The sequence below is a fragment of the Homo sapiens genome, chromosome 6 (genome assembly GCF_000001405.40).
Source record: "Homo sapiens chromosome 6, GRCh38.p14 Primary Assembly".
NCBI lineage: Eukaryota > Metazoa > Chordata > Mammalia > Primates > Hominidae > Homo > Homo sapiens.
In genome coordinates this window covers 169,327,282-169,344,713 of record NC_000006.12, presented here as the reverse complement: position 1 = coordinate 169,344,713, position 17,432 = coordinate 169,327,282, and the positions used below count along the sequence as shown (strand labels likewise).

General features: G+C 41.2%; 1 protein-coding gene across 2 annotated transcripts; it reads left to right on the top strand.

Annotated features, from left to right (window-relative positions):
• The first annotated feature begins 200 nt into the window (after positions 1-200).
• On the top strand, positions 201-15,613 carry LOC105378148 (uncharacterized). 2 transcript variants are annotated; one of them, XM_017011621.2, is made up of 4 exons: positions 201-455; positions 3,675-4,799; positions 6,330-6,593; positions 13,699-15,613. In XM_017011621.2, exons 2-4 carry the CDS (start codon positions 4,493-4,495, stop codon positions 13,713-13,715), a joined length of 588 nt encoding a protein of 195 aa, XP_016867110.1. In that variant the 5' UTR covers positions 201-455; positions 3,675-4,492; the 3' UTR covers positions 13,716-15,613. The 2 variants fall into 2 exon arrangements, with proteins under 2 accessions (XP_016867110.1, XP_016867109.1); XM_017011620.2 differs by lacking the exons at positions 201-455; positions 13,699-15,613 and having other exon boundaries at positions 4,171-4,799; positions 6,330-7,312.
• Positions 15,614-17,432: the final 1,819 nt, after the last annotated feature.

Below are 17,432 nucleotides of genomic sequence, written 5' to 3'. Positions count from 1 at the left end.
TAAGTAAGCCTGACATGGTGACAATAAGGGAATCCAAAAGAGTAGAATACAGTTTGCTCTGTGGCTGTCTCCAAGGACCAAAGTAGCAAAAGAATAAAGTCAGTCAAAGTTTAATATTTTAAAGCCAATATATTTCTTAATAAGAATATGAGTGGAAAACAGTGACACAGCCAATACTTCCCCTAAACTGAAATCATTTCTCAACCCAGGAGAAATTTCATCTCAAAAATAACAAATGGATTAAAAATGAATATGAACCACAAGGAACCTTCACCCCCAGGTGAACATTTTAATAGGTTTCCTGACGAATGAAGTGGAAGTTGGCTCACGGTGTGCTCAGCCTCTGAAGCAACTGGATTCAGGCAGAGGCAGGTGAGACTTCCCTCGAGCACCTCCTGCCTCCTGCCCTGCCCAGAGGCTCCGACTGAGGATGTGGCACCTCGTTCCTTAGGCAGGTGTGACTTTGTTTTTATTACAATAATGTATATACAATAAGAACCGTGTATTCCTTTACTGAGAGAAAGAGAGAGCGAGAGAAGATCATAGGGTTGATTCCAAGGGCACGTGTTACAATGCACTCTGCAAACTTCTTAAAATTTATTGGGTTTCTCATCTAAAAATGTTCTCTGTGTTAGCTTCTGTCAATCAAGAAACATGACGAGACAAGTCTCAATCATTTTAGGAGGTGTATTTGCCAAGTTAAGAATGCGCGCCCAGGAGACAGATCTATGCCTTTCTCCAAAGACGATTCTGAGGGCTCCAAATTTAAAGGGGAAAGGGTGAGATAGTCACAATTTTCATGGAAGATGTGGGATAGGGAAAAATAATCATGCCTTTGTCTGGCTCAGTGAATCTGCATTTTTTTTTTTTTAACATAAGACAACGTAGACAGATGGAGCAGAGGAAAAACCTAGGGAATCTGCATTTTACAGAAGATCACAGACAAAATGGGGCAGGGGAACAATCAGATATGCATTTATGTCTGGTGGGCCGGGGGTGAGTGCAGCTATAAAGAGAAGCTGTCAATTTACATTGCCGTGGTGAAATCGTCACAGAAACACCTTAGATTAAAGATCTTGGAGCATACTAGGAATTTCCTTGTGGGCAAAATATGGGAGAGGCATGTAGCTTTTCATCAATTAGGAACCAAAAAGAGGAGGCAGGTTTGCAGCACCCAGTTCTCAGCTTAATTTTTCCCTTTGGCTTAATGAGTTTGGGGTCCCAAGATTTAATTTCCTTTCACACTTTCTAGACCATTGCCCAGACAATCTTTTTTGACCTGTGGTATCTAGCACAGTGAACCCACCTAATCCAAGAATGAAATGTGAATGGCAGCTGTGGAGTTATGCAACTTGGCTGATCCTGAGATTGTGGGTAACAATGATCTTTTCTAAACATGACCTTATGAGGCCCGTGCAGAGGCTTATGTCTGTAATCCCAGCACTTTGAGAGGCTGAGGGGGATGATTGGTTGAGCCCAGGAGTTCGAGACCAGCCTGGGCAACATAGCTAAACCTTGTCTCTACAAAAAATTAGCCAGGCATGGTGGTGCATGCCTGTGGTCCCACCTACTCAGAAGGCTGAGGCAGGGGGATTGCTTGAGCCCAGAAGGTTGAGGCTGCAGTGAGCTGAGATTGCACCACTACACTGGAGTCTGGGCAACAGGGCAAGACCCTGTCTCCAAAAAAAAAAAAAAATAGCCATATGCATATAACCTTCTGCCCCACCCTTACAGCTGTACCACGTGAGTGAGACATGGAAGCTGTTTTATGCCTCTGGGAGTCTTCAGTCTTTTGTTCTCTGAACAATGAGGGCACGATTCGGTTCACCATCTCTGCCCAGCTCCTTAGTCCTGGCTCCTTTCCCTAGGAACAGGCTGGCACAGAGTTCCAACACTCTTCCCAAAATCATATGAGTCAGAACCAGGAACCCAGAACCTAGTTTTAATAGAAGCTGATGTAAGCTTCTATAGCAATGCAAACTGATACCTAAGTCAATAGTAAAATATATGTGTTTGCAAGCACCTTCCTTCTTTCTGTGTAATCGAAGGGCTTCCAGCGTCCACCACAGGCTCTTCCTCTGTGGGAGTGTAAACCCTCCAGTGTCCCCAAGGCTGAGTGAGTCCAGTTTATGTCAGTATTAACAGCCCTGGGAAAATAGATGAGTTTGCAGTGTGTGTAAATTGTGGTGTTTAAGTTGGGTGACTCTATAGTTTATCATCGGGAGCGGGGACTGGGATCCTTCTGAGAGTGGCAAGTGGCCGTTCATAATTCCATAGCATCTCAGGCGTGAACCAGGACAGGCCCTGGGAAGGGAGGTGGTGTGGCCATGCTAAGAGTAAGCCTACATATGAACAAAAGCTTGATCTTTGGGTTTCTTCCTTAAACACTGCTCAGATTCCTCTACTACCAGGATGCCTCTGACTAAATATCTCACCCAGTCCAGCCCTCCCAGCTGGGGCCGGCGGGATCTTGTAGGAACTGCAGCGACAGAGGCAGTTAACAGGAAGGTTCACTGAGCAGACAGACAATGGGCTGGACTGAGAAAGGCCTGAAGTGGTTGGAGACTAAGGCGAACTCCAGCCTAGAACGTATCAACCAGACAGTGTGATTCCCTCTTGGACAAGAGCAGTGGGGTTAAGGACGGGGGTCTTGGTCATTGTTAGGGGCTCACCTGCATGGGAAGTGGAGAAGAAACAGTGGGGAAGAGGATGAGACATAGAAGGAGGCAGAGACCTGACGCTGAAGGAGCTTTGCAGCAGGTGAAGTCATCTGGGCAGGACACATGCCAGAATTTGGTGTGGGTGTGACAGGTGGCAGGCTCAGACGGACATCTAAGTCGGGTGAGTGTGGCCAGGGAGAGGGTGCACAGATGGAGCCGGGCAGTATGGCCAGTCTGGAGGCTGCTCAGGGCCCTGGTCACACAGCTCCTTGTTTCATGGGGCCTAAAATATACACAGCTGACCCATGAACAATGCAAGAGTTGGGGTGCTGACTCCCCACACATTTGAAAATCTTCATGTAACTTTGCACCCCCAAGAAAATTAACTACTCATAGCCTACTATTGACCAGAAGCCTCGGGACGACATAAACGATGGACACGTGTTGCTGTTATATGTATTATATACTGCATTCCAAAATAACCTAAGCTACAGTAAAGAACAGGTTATTAAAAAAGTCATAGGGAGGAGAAAACATATTCGCTATTCATTAGGTGGAGTTGGGTCATCATAAAGGTCTCCAAACATTAGAACTTCATAGTTAGCAATTTTAAAAGTTGAAAAGTGTCATGCATTTTTTAAACTTCCTCATGTTTTTAACCAGAAAGGTTTGTGGCCGAAGGTAGCCAGTGGTCGCCCAGAGGAACCTCCTAGGTGATGGATATACCTTCCTGAAATGTCATGGATAATTGGATCTTGAGGGAAAGCGACACCTCTGGGAGACGCTTGCTCCCTGGCCTGGTGGCCTCCCCTCCTCACTGGGCTCTGGCTGCCTCCTTCTGCAATGGGCCGACCTGGGTGGGTGGTTCCGTCCTGCACAAAGGCTGTCTTTGGGGTCCGAGGCTTTCTCTTCTTGTTAGGAGAACTGGCCCTAGCACAACCTGGGTGTAGGAGGATCCTGGCACCTCTGGGAAGGGTGTGGCTCTGATTGCCTGGGGTCTTTCTCTGACACCAGCTTTTCCTGGGCTCCTGTGAAGACCCTGCAGTGGAGAGAAAGCTGGTTCACCAGGAATCCGGGGAGCCCCACAGACCCTGCATTGGAGAGAAAGCTGGTTCACCAGGAATCCGGGGAGCCCCGCAGACCCTGCACTGGAGAGAAAGCTGGTTCACCAGGAATCCGGGGAGCCCCGCAGACCCTGCATTGGAGAGAAAGCTGGTTCACCAGGAATCCGGGGAGCCCCGCAGACCCTGCATTGGAGAGAAAGCTGGTTCACCAGGAATCCGGGGAGCCCCGCAGACCCTGCAGTGAGCTCAGCTCTGACCCCACGTGAGCAATTCTCCCCTCTGCACGAAGCTCGCTGTTGGCTCGGCCCATGGACAGAGGCAAGCACCCCGGGGCCAGCCCCTGTGCCAGCGAGCTCCGTGCCCGGGCGAGGCATGCCTGCCGGGGGAAGTGAGTCATCGCCCGTCGCCCAAGCCAGTGGCTGCACAAGGCAGGGGCAGGAAGAGGCAGAAGCCGCTTGGTAGCTGACAACAGAACACGTTTACGGGCCTGGGGACTGCTCCTGGGCGTTCCAGAAGCTTTCCTAGGAGGGATACTCTGCCTGGGCTGGAGGCCTCGAAGCAGCAGGGAGGGCAGAGCCAGCCACCCTGGGCACACCCGACTGGAGGGGCTGCCTCCACCAGCCCCAGGCACTTTCCTCTCACCCAATGGCAAGAATTTCCATTCCAATATCAGTATTCAATACTCAGTGCTGACTAAATAATTACTAAAATTGAGTACTGGGGTCTCGACATGAGAAAAGAAAGTCAGGCCAATGCCTGGGAACAAGGATGGAGAGTTTTGTGACAGTATCTTGGAGACATGAAGGCTCACTCTGCTTCCTGCTCAGACAAGCCTGGGGACCCTTGGGTGTGTCATGTTCCCTGCAGAGCCGACACTCCGTTGTCATGTGTGTTAGGAAGAGAGTCACCAGGGCCGTCCCGCCTACTTTGTCTCCAGCACCAGGTCTGACCCTTGTGCGTGGTCTCAGAAGGGCACAGGTGCTGACGATGGAAAAACAGCTTGTTGTGAAAGTGACACAGAGCTCACAGTTATCTCCTGAAACTCTTGGAAGGGAAACTATGAGAACCATAAATGGTAATTATTGTAAGATACCCGTTATCAGTAAGTTAAACATTATCAGTATTTCATTTATTTCCATGCGTTATCTTTATATTCTGTTTTAATGAGTGTAACGTGGCCAGAGGGAACTTTTTGAAAGGCCGGGGCAGGAAGAGGCAGATGCCACTTCGTAGCTGACAACAGGACTTGTTCTTGCAAACTCTTACCTCCTTACTGAATCAACTACGTCCTACAAGGCAAAGTACACATTTATTTTCCGTAAGGCAGCTAGTTCTGAAAACATTTAAATATTTCTCTGGTTACCTAGATAAGAAACACATGTTAAATTTGAAAAAGAAAGCTCATAGTGGTGATTTCTTGAGTTTATTGAATCTCCAAGAGTAAGGCTAACTTTAACTGGTCAATGGGTTACTATCCATTTGAATTTTAGCCGTTTAAAAGAGAATAGAGATACATTTTTGGTTTTCTTTACTACAAATTTTAATTGACTAATTTCCTCATTAACCTTTTCCATGGAGGCTAAGACAATCTTAAGGCACTGCTGTTTTTGAATTTCAGATGTGATTTCCTTTCTGACTTAAGAAGGAACCTCTGAAATTTATGCTCCCTGAGTGCTCATATCACTAAGGTAGGAACTGGGAGGCACTGGGCGTCCTGCACGGCTCCGCGGCTTCAGAGCCGGTGTCCGAGGTCACACAGCCTGGAGTTGCTGCCAGATCTAACGGCAGGTTGTTTTTATCACAGTGAACGTTTGCATGGCACCCACAGAACTACATTTCTGGGTGTTCTGGAATCTCGGGGTTCACTGCATGTGGCTGCAGTGCTGAGCTCCCCCAGTTTCACCTGGAGCCCCCCTTTCTCAGTTTACAAGGCATGCTCTTTTGATTAAAAAAATGGATTATTGCGTGTGCTCTATATTCTAGTCTAAAATATATCTTTTGCCCGTCCCCTCTAGCTGTGGCAGGCCAGGTCTCATGAATGCACACCTCCATCACAATTGTTTCATTACAGACTGAGTGGTTAAGATAAATATTAAAAGCTGAAAAAGCCAGTGCCCTTATACAAAGGCTGTGATGTTACAGAAGCCGATAAAGAGTTTTGGCCAGGCCTTTCCTGGGCCTTAAAGCATGACAAGATAATGAAGGAATTCTTAACAGGACAGATTTGGGATTAAACAACTTTTATTGGGGGTCTGAAGAAACTCCCCAGGCCTCCACAAACAAGCGTACTGGGGGCTGAAGGAACTCCTCAAACCTCCATGATTTAGCAGGGGAGAAGATAAGGGTAATCACTCCAGCACCTGAACCATTTAGATTAAGTAAATTTACTGGCTCCAGAGAAGGTCTTCAGGACTCAGACATTAGTTTTAGATTAAAAGAAGTTAATCACTTACGTCTTTAGATGAATGCACATTTATACGTAGACATATAGCTTAGAAGGTATTTAAGTGCTGGGAAACTTTGTAATTTTGAGTTGGTCTGGCGATAATTTCCCGGCCTTCTCCCTGTAACTGGTTACTGAAATAAAAACTCTCTTCCTCCCCAGTTCATCTGCATGTGGTTATTGGGCCACAAGAAATAGCAGCCCGACCCTCAGTTTGGTCCAGGAACAAAGTTTGGCAAGCCAGCCAGGAGAGACCAGGATGGTGCTGTGGTCAGCGGCTTGCGACGAGACACTCTTCAGGAGGATCTCAGCAGCTACTGGTGAGATTTTCCCGGGGACCCTCCGGAGGACTGTCTGGTGTGCAACATTTCATGTCCCTTTCACTACTGGGGAAGAACGGAGATCAGGAGCAGATGCTCTCCAAGGGTGAGTTAACTGGATCATATGCCAGGAGCCCATTGTTTTCCCATCTGGGTTTGTGAAACCACTTGTCCAGCACTGCCAAGGGAAGCAATGGGGCTTGCTCATACACCAGCTTTGCATTTTGGTTGAGATCAGATTTGAGTTCGCTTTGAGTCTGTTTTGCCGACTGCATGCCCTCTCGTGTTGTCCAAAATTTGTCTCCACTTGTTTGCATATCTGCCTTATTCCTTTTGATATCATGTAAACTTAAAAATGGGAGGTATTGGGTCCATTTCTGCTGAAAGTCCTCTGAGAAGAAAAACATATATTTTTTTAGGAGCTCAATGGTGAAAAGTCAGCTTAAAGGAAGGCTCACATCCAAGATGTGTGTATGCATATGTGCATGTATGCATGTTTGCATTTAAAAGGTCTTCATGTTTTTGTTTTTATTTCTCTCCTAGGACCTTGTCATTTTGAGCAAAAGTTTTTCTTCTCAGTTTACCAAATTCTGTTTTCTTTGTTAATAGCTGTAACAACGGAAGCTACTCTGCAGTTTTTAAGAAAAAGTGTAATTTAGACACTTACAAATGTCTTTGTTTGGGGCTGGGCATGGTGGCTCAGGCTTGTAATCTCCACACTTTGGGCGGCTGAGGCGGGTGGATCACATGAGGCCAGGAGTTTAAGACCAGCCTGGCCAACCTGGTGAAACCCCATCTCTACTAAAAATACAAAATTTAACTGGGTGTGGTGGTAGGCGCCTGTAATCCCAGCTACTTGGGAGGCTGAGGCAGGAGAATTGCTTGAACCTGGGAGGCAGAGTTTGCAGAGAGCCGAGATCATACCATTGCACTCCAGCCTGGGTGACAGAGCAAGACTCCATCTCAAAGAAAAAAAAAATTAAGTGCACCGTAAAAGCATCACATGTTCTAGCCTCATAATAATTCTCCCTTTTTGAAAACCCAGGATTCATTGTAGGCTCTGCTGAGAGCTCAAAGATCCAGTTAAAAGATATTTAGTCAATATCTAAGTAAAGTTAGTCTCCTTATACAGTCCTATGATAAAATTTCTATACTTTTACGTTTGATCTGGCCTTCCTCTTTAATCTCCCTCTAACACCACCCAGACTTTTTCTCTGTGCACCTTGAGATGTAAAATTTTGCTGTTTGCTTTTTCACCTAAGAGTTGTTTCCTTTAATATGCAGATTTAGGGCTATTTAGTTGACAACTGCCAGAGTAATAAACCAGGTTATCAAGAGTTTGCAAGTCTAAGATAGAAAAAAGGAGGTCTTATGAATCTATAAAATGTATTTCTGTTGGCATGCCTAACACGGCTATGTATTTATGTCTCATGTATACCATGTTTCACTACTGAAAATACATAAAAGAGTTCTTATTAATTGGCTCAAAGAAAAAATAAAAGTGCTTGCATACTTTAACAGAAAAAAGGAAAGAGTAGTCAAATGCTTTTTTAAGTTTATGTGACTTAAGTAAATCTTTAATAAATAAGCTAGCTTTAAAAATTTTAAAAATTATTGGTAAAGTAATATTAGAAATATCTTAAGAATTGCCAGCATACTTGTTTGCATTTATTGATCAAGTGATTTCCAACTTGTCTCTGCCACATACTATAAGGTGTCAAAATTTGGCATACAGGCTACAAAACTATAACCAGCCCAAAACAGAATAATCTTTGCTTATGTAATTTTTAGTAAGTAAAACATTAATATTAGTTTAATTGAAATAGCTACATCTTGAATTATTTAGTGAAATATTTTAACTTCGGATCTTGTGGCCTTAGGCAATCTAGTCCATAAGCATGAAGGAAGTTTGTTCTGGGAAAGGACTGTTACCACCTTTGTTTCAAAGCTAAAGTATAACTAAGAAGTTAATAAAAATAGCTTGGAGTTTAGAAGCAAGATGGAGTAGGTTAGGTCATGTCATTCTCACTGTCTCAGTTATAATTTTGCAATGGTGGTTTTATAACTGTAAATGATAACTATCGCAGCTTTCATAAATCATCTAGGTAAATGATTAAAATAAATAATTAGATGAATGTAATTGGATAAATACTCATAAACAAACCTGTCATAATTTAGAATCTAAAGCTATATTAAATTTAATAACAGACATTTCATTATTTGGCTATTTTCCAATGAAAATATATTGTAGGAAAACATTCTTTCTAAATATTGTGTCCTTTTTTCAGGGTAATTAATTTTTGTCTAATCCAAAGCTTATTTAAAGGTTATATACAAAACAAGGTAAAAGAAACCAGAAAACAAGAGAGCTATAAAGAAAGTATAAAGAGAGTTTTAAAGATTATTGGTAACATGAAAATCTCCTAAAAAATGTAAACATTTGGACTAAATTATGCAGGTCAAATATTAGGTTTGCTAAATGTTTTTGGTCATAAACTGTTTCTTTGACTTACAAATTGTTCAATTTATTTTGGAGTGCTAAATTCTAGATAAGGCCTGGGGACACATGAAATTAACCATGCCCTTAGCTATGCAAAAAGGTATAAAGAAAAGAGATTTTATATAAGAAAGGATCTTGTATGGTAAATTCTTTCCTAAAAGTAAAATGACTGGTTGTTTAAAAAGAGGGATGTTTAGGACAAGTCAGAAAGTCAAGGCGTGTCGTAGCTTGTCTGTGTAGTCATGAAAGAATTTATGAAAGCGAATTTATGCAAGAAATATACAATTTAAAGGTGATTAGGCCTCCTAAATGCTGTATAAAATGCCACTATGACTCTTAGCCGCACAACTGCCTGCTTTACAGCTAGATATGGCCTGGGACACATGGAGTTAGATGCTGGAATAAGTCAGACTTTTTCTGCACTTCTGTCTAGGTCCTAGGCTTCACACCTAGTTCTTCATTCAAATCCCAACCTTACCAAGGTTTTCACCAAAAGTGAAGGTTCCTAAGAGTTAACAGAGTAACATGTATTTAAAGCTGTTGAAGAAATAGCAACATTCTTTATGTCAGTTTACGTGCAACGTGTGTAAGGAAAGTAAAATATATTTTTGGTAAAAAGATTATAAGGAGGCATGAGGATGTGGATTTTTTGCCTAGATTTAAAGTGTTGTTTTAAGTTAGATAAAATAAAGATGAAGGTTTAAGCAAGGTGTGGAAGGTTGATTGTAAGGGAAATTCTGTGTGTAAACACATTGGCTAAAGTTAAAGGAGTATCATCCAGTTTTTCTGTAAATTGAGCATTAAAATAAAAACACAATGGGTTTCTCTTAGAGCACTAACCTGCTCTTTAACAAAAACTGTAAAGGGTTAGAAAAGTTCTATAAAAATCTTACCTTATGGTCAAACATTAAAATTGGGTAAATATGTTTATAAGGTTTTATTAAGAATTGGGTGTAACTAATGTAAAGGGGAAATTTGACCTATTTGGTATAAACATTACACAGGAAGTATTGTTAGATATGAAATGGTGTTTGGCTGTCTTTGGGCTATATTTGTATAAATATGTTTTGGTATTTGTTTCAAAGTTATGGGAGACTCCTATATTTCTGATGTATCTTAGTGGACATTATCAGTAATAATTGTTATGTTAAATTATTGTGTGCCACAGAAGTAACAGATTTCCTTGTCAATTGTGTTTTTAACTATGCCTACCCTAAAACTTTTGTCATCCGTAAACGATTGTCTTGTTTTGGTCCTCTTTAGAAGGTGGTTTTATACTTAGCTGGAAAGCTCTCACAGGTGCTCTTGAATGTCATCCGTAAACAATTGTCTTGTTTTGGTCCTCTTTAGAAGGTGGTTTTATAATTAGCTGGAAAGCTCTCCCAGGTGCTCCTGAATGTCATCCATAAACGATTGTCTTGTTTTGGTCCTCTTTAGAAGGTGGTTTTATAATTAGCTGGAAAGCTCTCCCAGGTGCTCTTGAATGCAGGTTTCTGATAACTTTGAAGATTGTGACATTAGCATAGAAGAAAAACGTTCACGACTCTTGAAGAGCTAAAATATTTACTAATATCAAGTAGGACAGGAATGAACTGCATGAACTGAACTGATAGAAGACTGAAATGATCTTTTTGACTTTTGCTTAAAATGTTAAGCAATGTTGCTAATCCTTTGTTTTGCTTTTTCAGAGTCAAGGAAACTTTTGAGCTATTAATGGCTTTTAACAAGTATATTCTTATGAACAAAATTTGGGGCATATTTGTTTCTCTCTACCTGATTTCTCCAGAATTTGGAACTGTTTATATATAGTTATTTGCATAAATACAATAAGAATCTGTTTTCATTTGTAACAGGACACAATAGGAAAAACTGATTATTTTGCCAAGGCATTGGCTGGAATGTTGTGCTCTCCTTTTAGGAATCAAACTTGACTTATAAAGCCAACAAAGCCCTTGGAAACTGTCCTCTTATTCTGTGTACACAGTCCCTGCACAGGGGTTGTGATCTGTGGTAAGTAAAGAATGTCACTTTCTGACAGGCCGGGAACCCCAAGTTATCTTGAAACCTCACGAGGAAAGGAATTCATCCAACTCATAGGTATTTGATGAGATTCCAGGGACCAACTGCAGATTCTGGTGAAATACAGAAATCCTGCCCTGCCCCTTATGGCGGCCAGACCTCATATGGGCAGGACACAAGTGGGCAGTGATGGACGTGGTTTCCACAGGGGCAGAGCTTGGCTTCTTCAGGAGGTCATGAAGAGCTCTGGGAGCAAGAGCAGGGACCCATACCAGAAAGCAAGTTCCAGCATTGAGGAAACACACACACACACACAGCCAAAAGTGAACTCAGAGCTCTCCCTAAACCAACTCAACAGAGATGGATATTGACAGAATTGGAGGCAGATTTGGTTGAGCAAAAGCAAGCGGAGATCTCAGGAGGCTGCTTTGGCTGGCGGTGCCTCCTGTGTGAGCTGCTGGTGGGTAGAAAACAGGGGCATGGAGTTGGCTCTGAAGGCCGGGGACTGGGTGGCACACCGTGGAAACAGCCTTTCTACCCAAGTAACTGGCTCGTCTTCAAGGGATTTCAAGATGATTTCCTTCTAATGAAATATTCTTGTATTTCATAGTATTCTACTCACTTTTCTTCACATTAAACTATTCAATGATTGTGATATTCCATTTGAGAGAAGATTCCAAGTGAATTATGAGATTGATTCCACATGATGTGTATCTTTTAAACCAACACTGTGTGCTCCAATGGAAGAAATATTCAAATAAGATTGGGAGCACATGCTAGTTTTTCTTTTATCATGATTTATGCAGCAAATGTTTTTAAAAAATCATCTTTGGGGATTTAGTAAACATTCGGTAGAATTCTATTTTTCCAGTAAAATTTGGAGTAATTCTTTTGTGTCATTGAAGAATTTTGGGTGAGTACAAGTTCATGTGTTTCTGTGATGTATAAACCTCTTCCTTATACTCAAAGGAATTATATAGTGCTAGAACTCCTTGATTAAAGCAACATTTTATTTCTAATTCTTTTTTAGTATCATAAAGTAGGTTTATGTCCAAAAGATCATGCTACGAATGGTGATGGAGTCCAGTCACACCCGTCTCTCTCCAGAGTCATCGAGCATTCCTTTTATCTCCCTCCTTCTCACCAGAACCTTCCAAGGACCATGAGATAACCTTGGGGGTTGGGGCCCACGTTTTTGCCTTGGTGTAGCCTGGAGCTGGGAGATCCACTAACCCCTGCGGAAATCCAGCCGTGGCCGGTGGCTTATTGATGGCATGCTTTCAAATGTCACCAGTCCGCAGACACACGGAATACTCATCTACCCTCATGAACAAGGCAGAGTGGCCCTTTCCCATCTCCGTCTATATGTGTAGTATTCAGAACACAGTTTAAATGCCTTTCAGCTTCCTAATATCCAGTCCTCCTGCATCATCTTATGTCTGCAGGTTGTGTGCAGGCAGCTGCTGAAAGGAGCCCAGGTGCCCCCAGACCGTGCACACAGCTGTGTGCTGAGGTCAAATCACTGCCAGGGCCGTGTTCTGACTTCCCCTGAGAGCTCTGCCCTGCTGCCCTGCAGTGCCGTGAAAAGAGGGAAGAGGGAATGTGATACCATCTACTCTTCTTGTTCCGTGCACATGGTTTCTATTTGGAATTATGACATTGTGGAATTCAGGTGCCGTCTATACACACTATTTGTCTCTTGTAAGAAATTATACTCTGATTTGGCCTCATGTACTTTGATATTTGTGATCAAACTAGACGATGAAAGCTACATATAAAACCAGAGATAAAGACAAAAGTCCAAGTTATTCACAGATAGCCTAAACAGACACCAGTAAATGCAATATTTATGTGTATTCAGAAAAACAAACTATAGTAACCATATGCATAGAGAATTGAGTCAAATATGTTGTTGATATTTTTACTTCCTGCCTATATGGCTCTGTGTGTGATGTCTATGTTTCTTCCAGGACGTGACTTAAGGAGACCACCCAAATTTGGCATCTTTTCCCTCTTTTTCAAAGTAGATTTGGGATTAATTATAGTCATAGCCATCATTTGTAGACAATTTAATTTTAAAGTGCATTTTATTTGTCTATACAATATTATATGTATAATAGGACAGACTCAGAACCTAACTGCTTGGGTTCAAATCTGAGCCTGACTTCTTACTTGCTGTGTGACTGTGGGCAATTCTGTTTACTTCTCTTCTTCAATTTGCTCACCCGTAAAGTAAGGAGAATAAGAGCAGCAGCCTGTCGGTGGTTAAGGGATTGAAATGAGTTACTATTTGTAAAGAATTTAGAATAGTGCCACAGAAGTCTCTGTGAAATTACACAAACTGTCTCATTTAATTCTCTTTCCAGCATGCTAAGTAATGTTATTTCTCTCCTTTCTGAGAGGTGAAAGGACTTGTCCAAAATAATACAGTGACTTTACTCTCCCAGCCCCAAACCCTCTCTGGTGTATTTAAACTGAGGAGACTTGTGGAAGAGCCTGTTCTCAGAGAGTGTTCTGCCTACCTAGACAGAGTGTTTTAAGCAGCCGTGATCACATTCACTATCGTCACCAGCATCCTCATCATCAACAGACCTGCACTCATTGCTTTACTGTTCATATCAGTGGTCTAGTAGCTTTAAAATGAGCCCAGTACATAATTCCCTCAGTCTCTCACTGTCTTTATTAAATGCAGGCACCTTCTGGGGATAATGGCAGGGGCAGTGTCTTCCTCACCGCTGGGGCTTCATGCTTCCTGTGTCTGCAGTCTACTTCTTCAAACAAACAGAAGTTTTATAGAATCCATTTCACCCGTGCCCTAGTGCGTTCCAAGGACTCCAGAAAAACACCTTGCCCCACCTGTTCTCATAAGAGGACTGCTCCCCTGGGAATCAACACTGTGAAAATGGCCACATTGCCCAAAGCAGTCCACAGATTTGATGCAATCCCTACCAAAACAACAACATCGTTTTCACAGAATTAAGAAAAACAATCCTAAAATTCACATGTAACAAAAAAAGAGCCCGAATAACTAAGGCAGTCCTAAGAAAAATGCTGAAGGCATCTCGCTACCTGATCTCAAGTCATACTATAAGGCTATTGTAACCCAAACAGCATGGTATTAGTATGAAAACAGGCACATAGATCAGTGGAACAGAATAGAGAACCCAGAGATAACGCAGCATATCTACAGCCAACTGATCTTTGACAAAGTCAACAAAAATATGCACTGAGGAAAGGACTCCCTTTTCGATAAATAGTGCTGGGAAAATCGGATTGTCATGAGCAGAAGAATTTAACTGCATCCCTATCTCTCCCCATATCAAAAATCAACTCAAGATGGATTAAAGATTTGAATCTTAAGACCTGAAACTATTAAAATACTAGAAGAAACCCTAGAGGAAACTTTTCTGGACATTGGTCTAGGCAAACAATTCATGACAAAGACCTCAAAAGTAAATGCAACAAAAACAAAAATAGACAAATGGGACTTAATTAAACTAAAACTCTTCTGCACATCAAAAGAAACAATTAACAGAGTGTACAGACAACCTGCAGAATGGGAGAAAATATTTGCAAACTATGCACCCAACAGGGGACGAATATCTAGAATTTACTAGGAACTGAAACAACTCAACAGCAACAACAACAAAAACTAACTCCAGTAAAAACTGGGCAAAGGACTTGACAAGATATTTTTCAAAAGAAGACATACAAAAGGCCAGCAAACATGAAAAAATGCTCAAATCACTACTCACCAGAGAAATGCAAATTAAAACCTCAATGAGATACCATCTTACATCCGTCAGAATGGCTATTATTATAAAGACAAAAAACAACAGATGCTGGCAAGGAGGTGGAGAAAAGGGAACTCACACATTATTGGTGGAAATGGAAATGAGTACAACCTCTATGGAAAACAGTATGGAGATTTCTCAAAGAACTAATGATAGACCAAGCACTGATGCCAGCAGTTCCACCACTGGGTATCTATTTACCCAAAGGAAAATAAATTATTGTATCAAAATGATACCGGCACTTGTAAATTTTTTGCAGCACTATTCACAATAGCAAAGATACGGAATGAACCTATGTGTCTATCAACAGATGATTGGATAAAGAAAATGTGATGTATATCCACACACACAATTGTATCACATTACAATGTGATAAAATTCCATATATGCAATGGAATACTATTTGGTCATAAAAAAGAATAACATTATGTCTTAAGCAGCAACATGGATGGAACTGGAGGCCATTATCTTAAGTGAAATAACACAGAAACAGAAAGTAAAATACTGAGTGTTCTCATTTATAAGTGGGAGGTAAATAATGTGTAAATGTGAGAATGTGGGATGATAGACATTGGAGACGTAGAAGGATGGGAGGGAGTGAGGGATGAGAAATTATCCAATGGGTGCAACGTACATTATTCGGGTGATGGATACAATAAAATACCAAACTTCGCTACTGTACAATATATCCATGTAACAAAACTGCAGCTGTACTCCCTAAATTTTTTAAAATACATATAAATGCTTGACATTATTATACATGTAAATGGAATAGAAATAGAAACAGAAAATAAATGCTTCAAGTGTTTTACACCCTGAGATTTTGGACTTATTACATTTGACAACCACAGAACATTTCTCAAAATATCTGAAGATGATACAGTTTTGAGTCAATAATGTTATCCGCAAACCATCATAAATAGTGATTCATTAGCCATCACAAATACATTGAAGTTATATTGTTTTCAGAGAAGAATGCTGGAAAGAGTAATTATTGCAATGTTTTATATCAATTATAATCCCACCTGATACCACTTTCTTCCCTGGAAACATTACTGAATGCAGAGTGCCAGCCGCATCCTCAGTAGTACATACATTTTTCCCTTGTAAATGGTGACCCTCAAAAGGTCATGTCTGGATGTCCACATCTTTGCATTTCTATGTAGCTCAGTTTGTTTGTTTATAGAGTTTAAAGGCACACATGTCTGTGTTTTCGTATGGTTTCATACTCACAGCAGTGCACTGAACAAAACAAGACAAGATTGATGTTGCTCTTGTTTTCCAGGAGAAGGGGCTGTGGAGGCTGACTCACTGATGAGCGGCTGGCCAGGCAGAGCCGGTGCTCGTGCTTGGGCGGAAGCTCCCTCACTCTGTGCAGAGCAGGCTCTCCATCTTGCTACTACATTACTTTTTCCCTTGGAATTTTAAATAACTATTTTTTGCCTTTTTAATTCAAGGCCTCTACCTTTTTTTCCTGCTTTTTTATTGAGAGGAAATTCACATCACATACAATTCACAATGTTAAAGTGAACAGTTCAGTGGCTTTTAGTACATTTACAATGTTGTGCAACCATTGCCACTGTCTAGTTCTGAAATATTTTCATCACCCCAAAGGGAAATCCCATATCCATTAAGCAGTCACTCCCAGCCCCCCAAAACCACTGATCTACTTTCTGTCTGTGGATTTGCCTGTTCTGGACATTTCATATACAAGGAATCATGCAATAGAAGTCTTTGTGCCTGGATGCACAGTGCTTTCAGGTTTTATCCATGCTCTAGCACATGTCAGAGCTTCACTCCTTTTCATAGCTGAATAATATTCCATTGTGGGGATATGCCACAGTTTGTCTGTCCGTTCATCTGCTGGGGGGCATTTGAGCTGTTTCTACCTCTTGACTGTGAATGGTGCTGCTGTGAACATACATGTCCATTGTTTGACCTGCAACATTTTTGAAAACTTACCAAAAGGAAACTGTATCTCTGTAATCAACATTTAGTAAACAAGACATTATTAGGCATGTCATGTGAGAAACAGGGTAGTTGGTTATATAAATAATGTTTTGGGCTTTGATGTTCATTATTAAACATCAATGGTTAGTTATAATTCCCCTGGGATCTTTAAACTGCACTTGCTTTTCTAAATCTTATGGTTATTGTGGAGAATGATATTTATGGTTGAACATTTTACAAGTATTAAACATGTAAACATTCCACTATGAATATTTCATCTAATGCCAGAAAAGTTATTCTGGGTCTTCAATGTCTGCAGAGACTTAGGACATATGTAATAATGCTCAACTTTTATGGATATAACCTGAGGTTGACAACCTAGAAAATCAGATTTATCAGCTATTTAAACAATCTTATCTAACAAATGGAGGCTTCTGAAAGTAACAGGCTGGATAAACATACTGAAAAGGCACAAGAATAGCCTTTATGCTATTTATAAAAATCATTGGGAAATGATATTCTCTTACTTTCTATTCCTAAGAAGAGACTATGCACACTGGCAAAATGCTGTTTTACAATGCTTATAATATAGACTTATACTCTGTATTTGTTTTGTGTCTATGGTTTATTTCTCTGAGTAGAAATTTAAAATTACTATTTTCTTTTGATCCATGGGTTCAGA

Coding starts and splice junctions, on each gene's coding strand:
- LOC105378148 (XM_017011620.2), top strand. CDS start 4,493: ATGGAGAGTTTTGTGACAGTATCTTGGAGACATGAAGGCTCACTCTGC. Junction 4,800..6,329: donor AACTATGAGAACCATAAATG/GTAATTATTGTA, acceptor CTTCCTCCCCAG/TTCATCTGCATGTGGTTATT.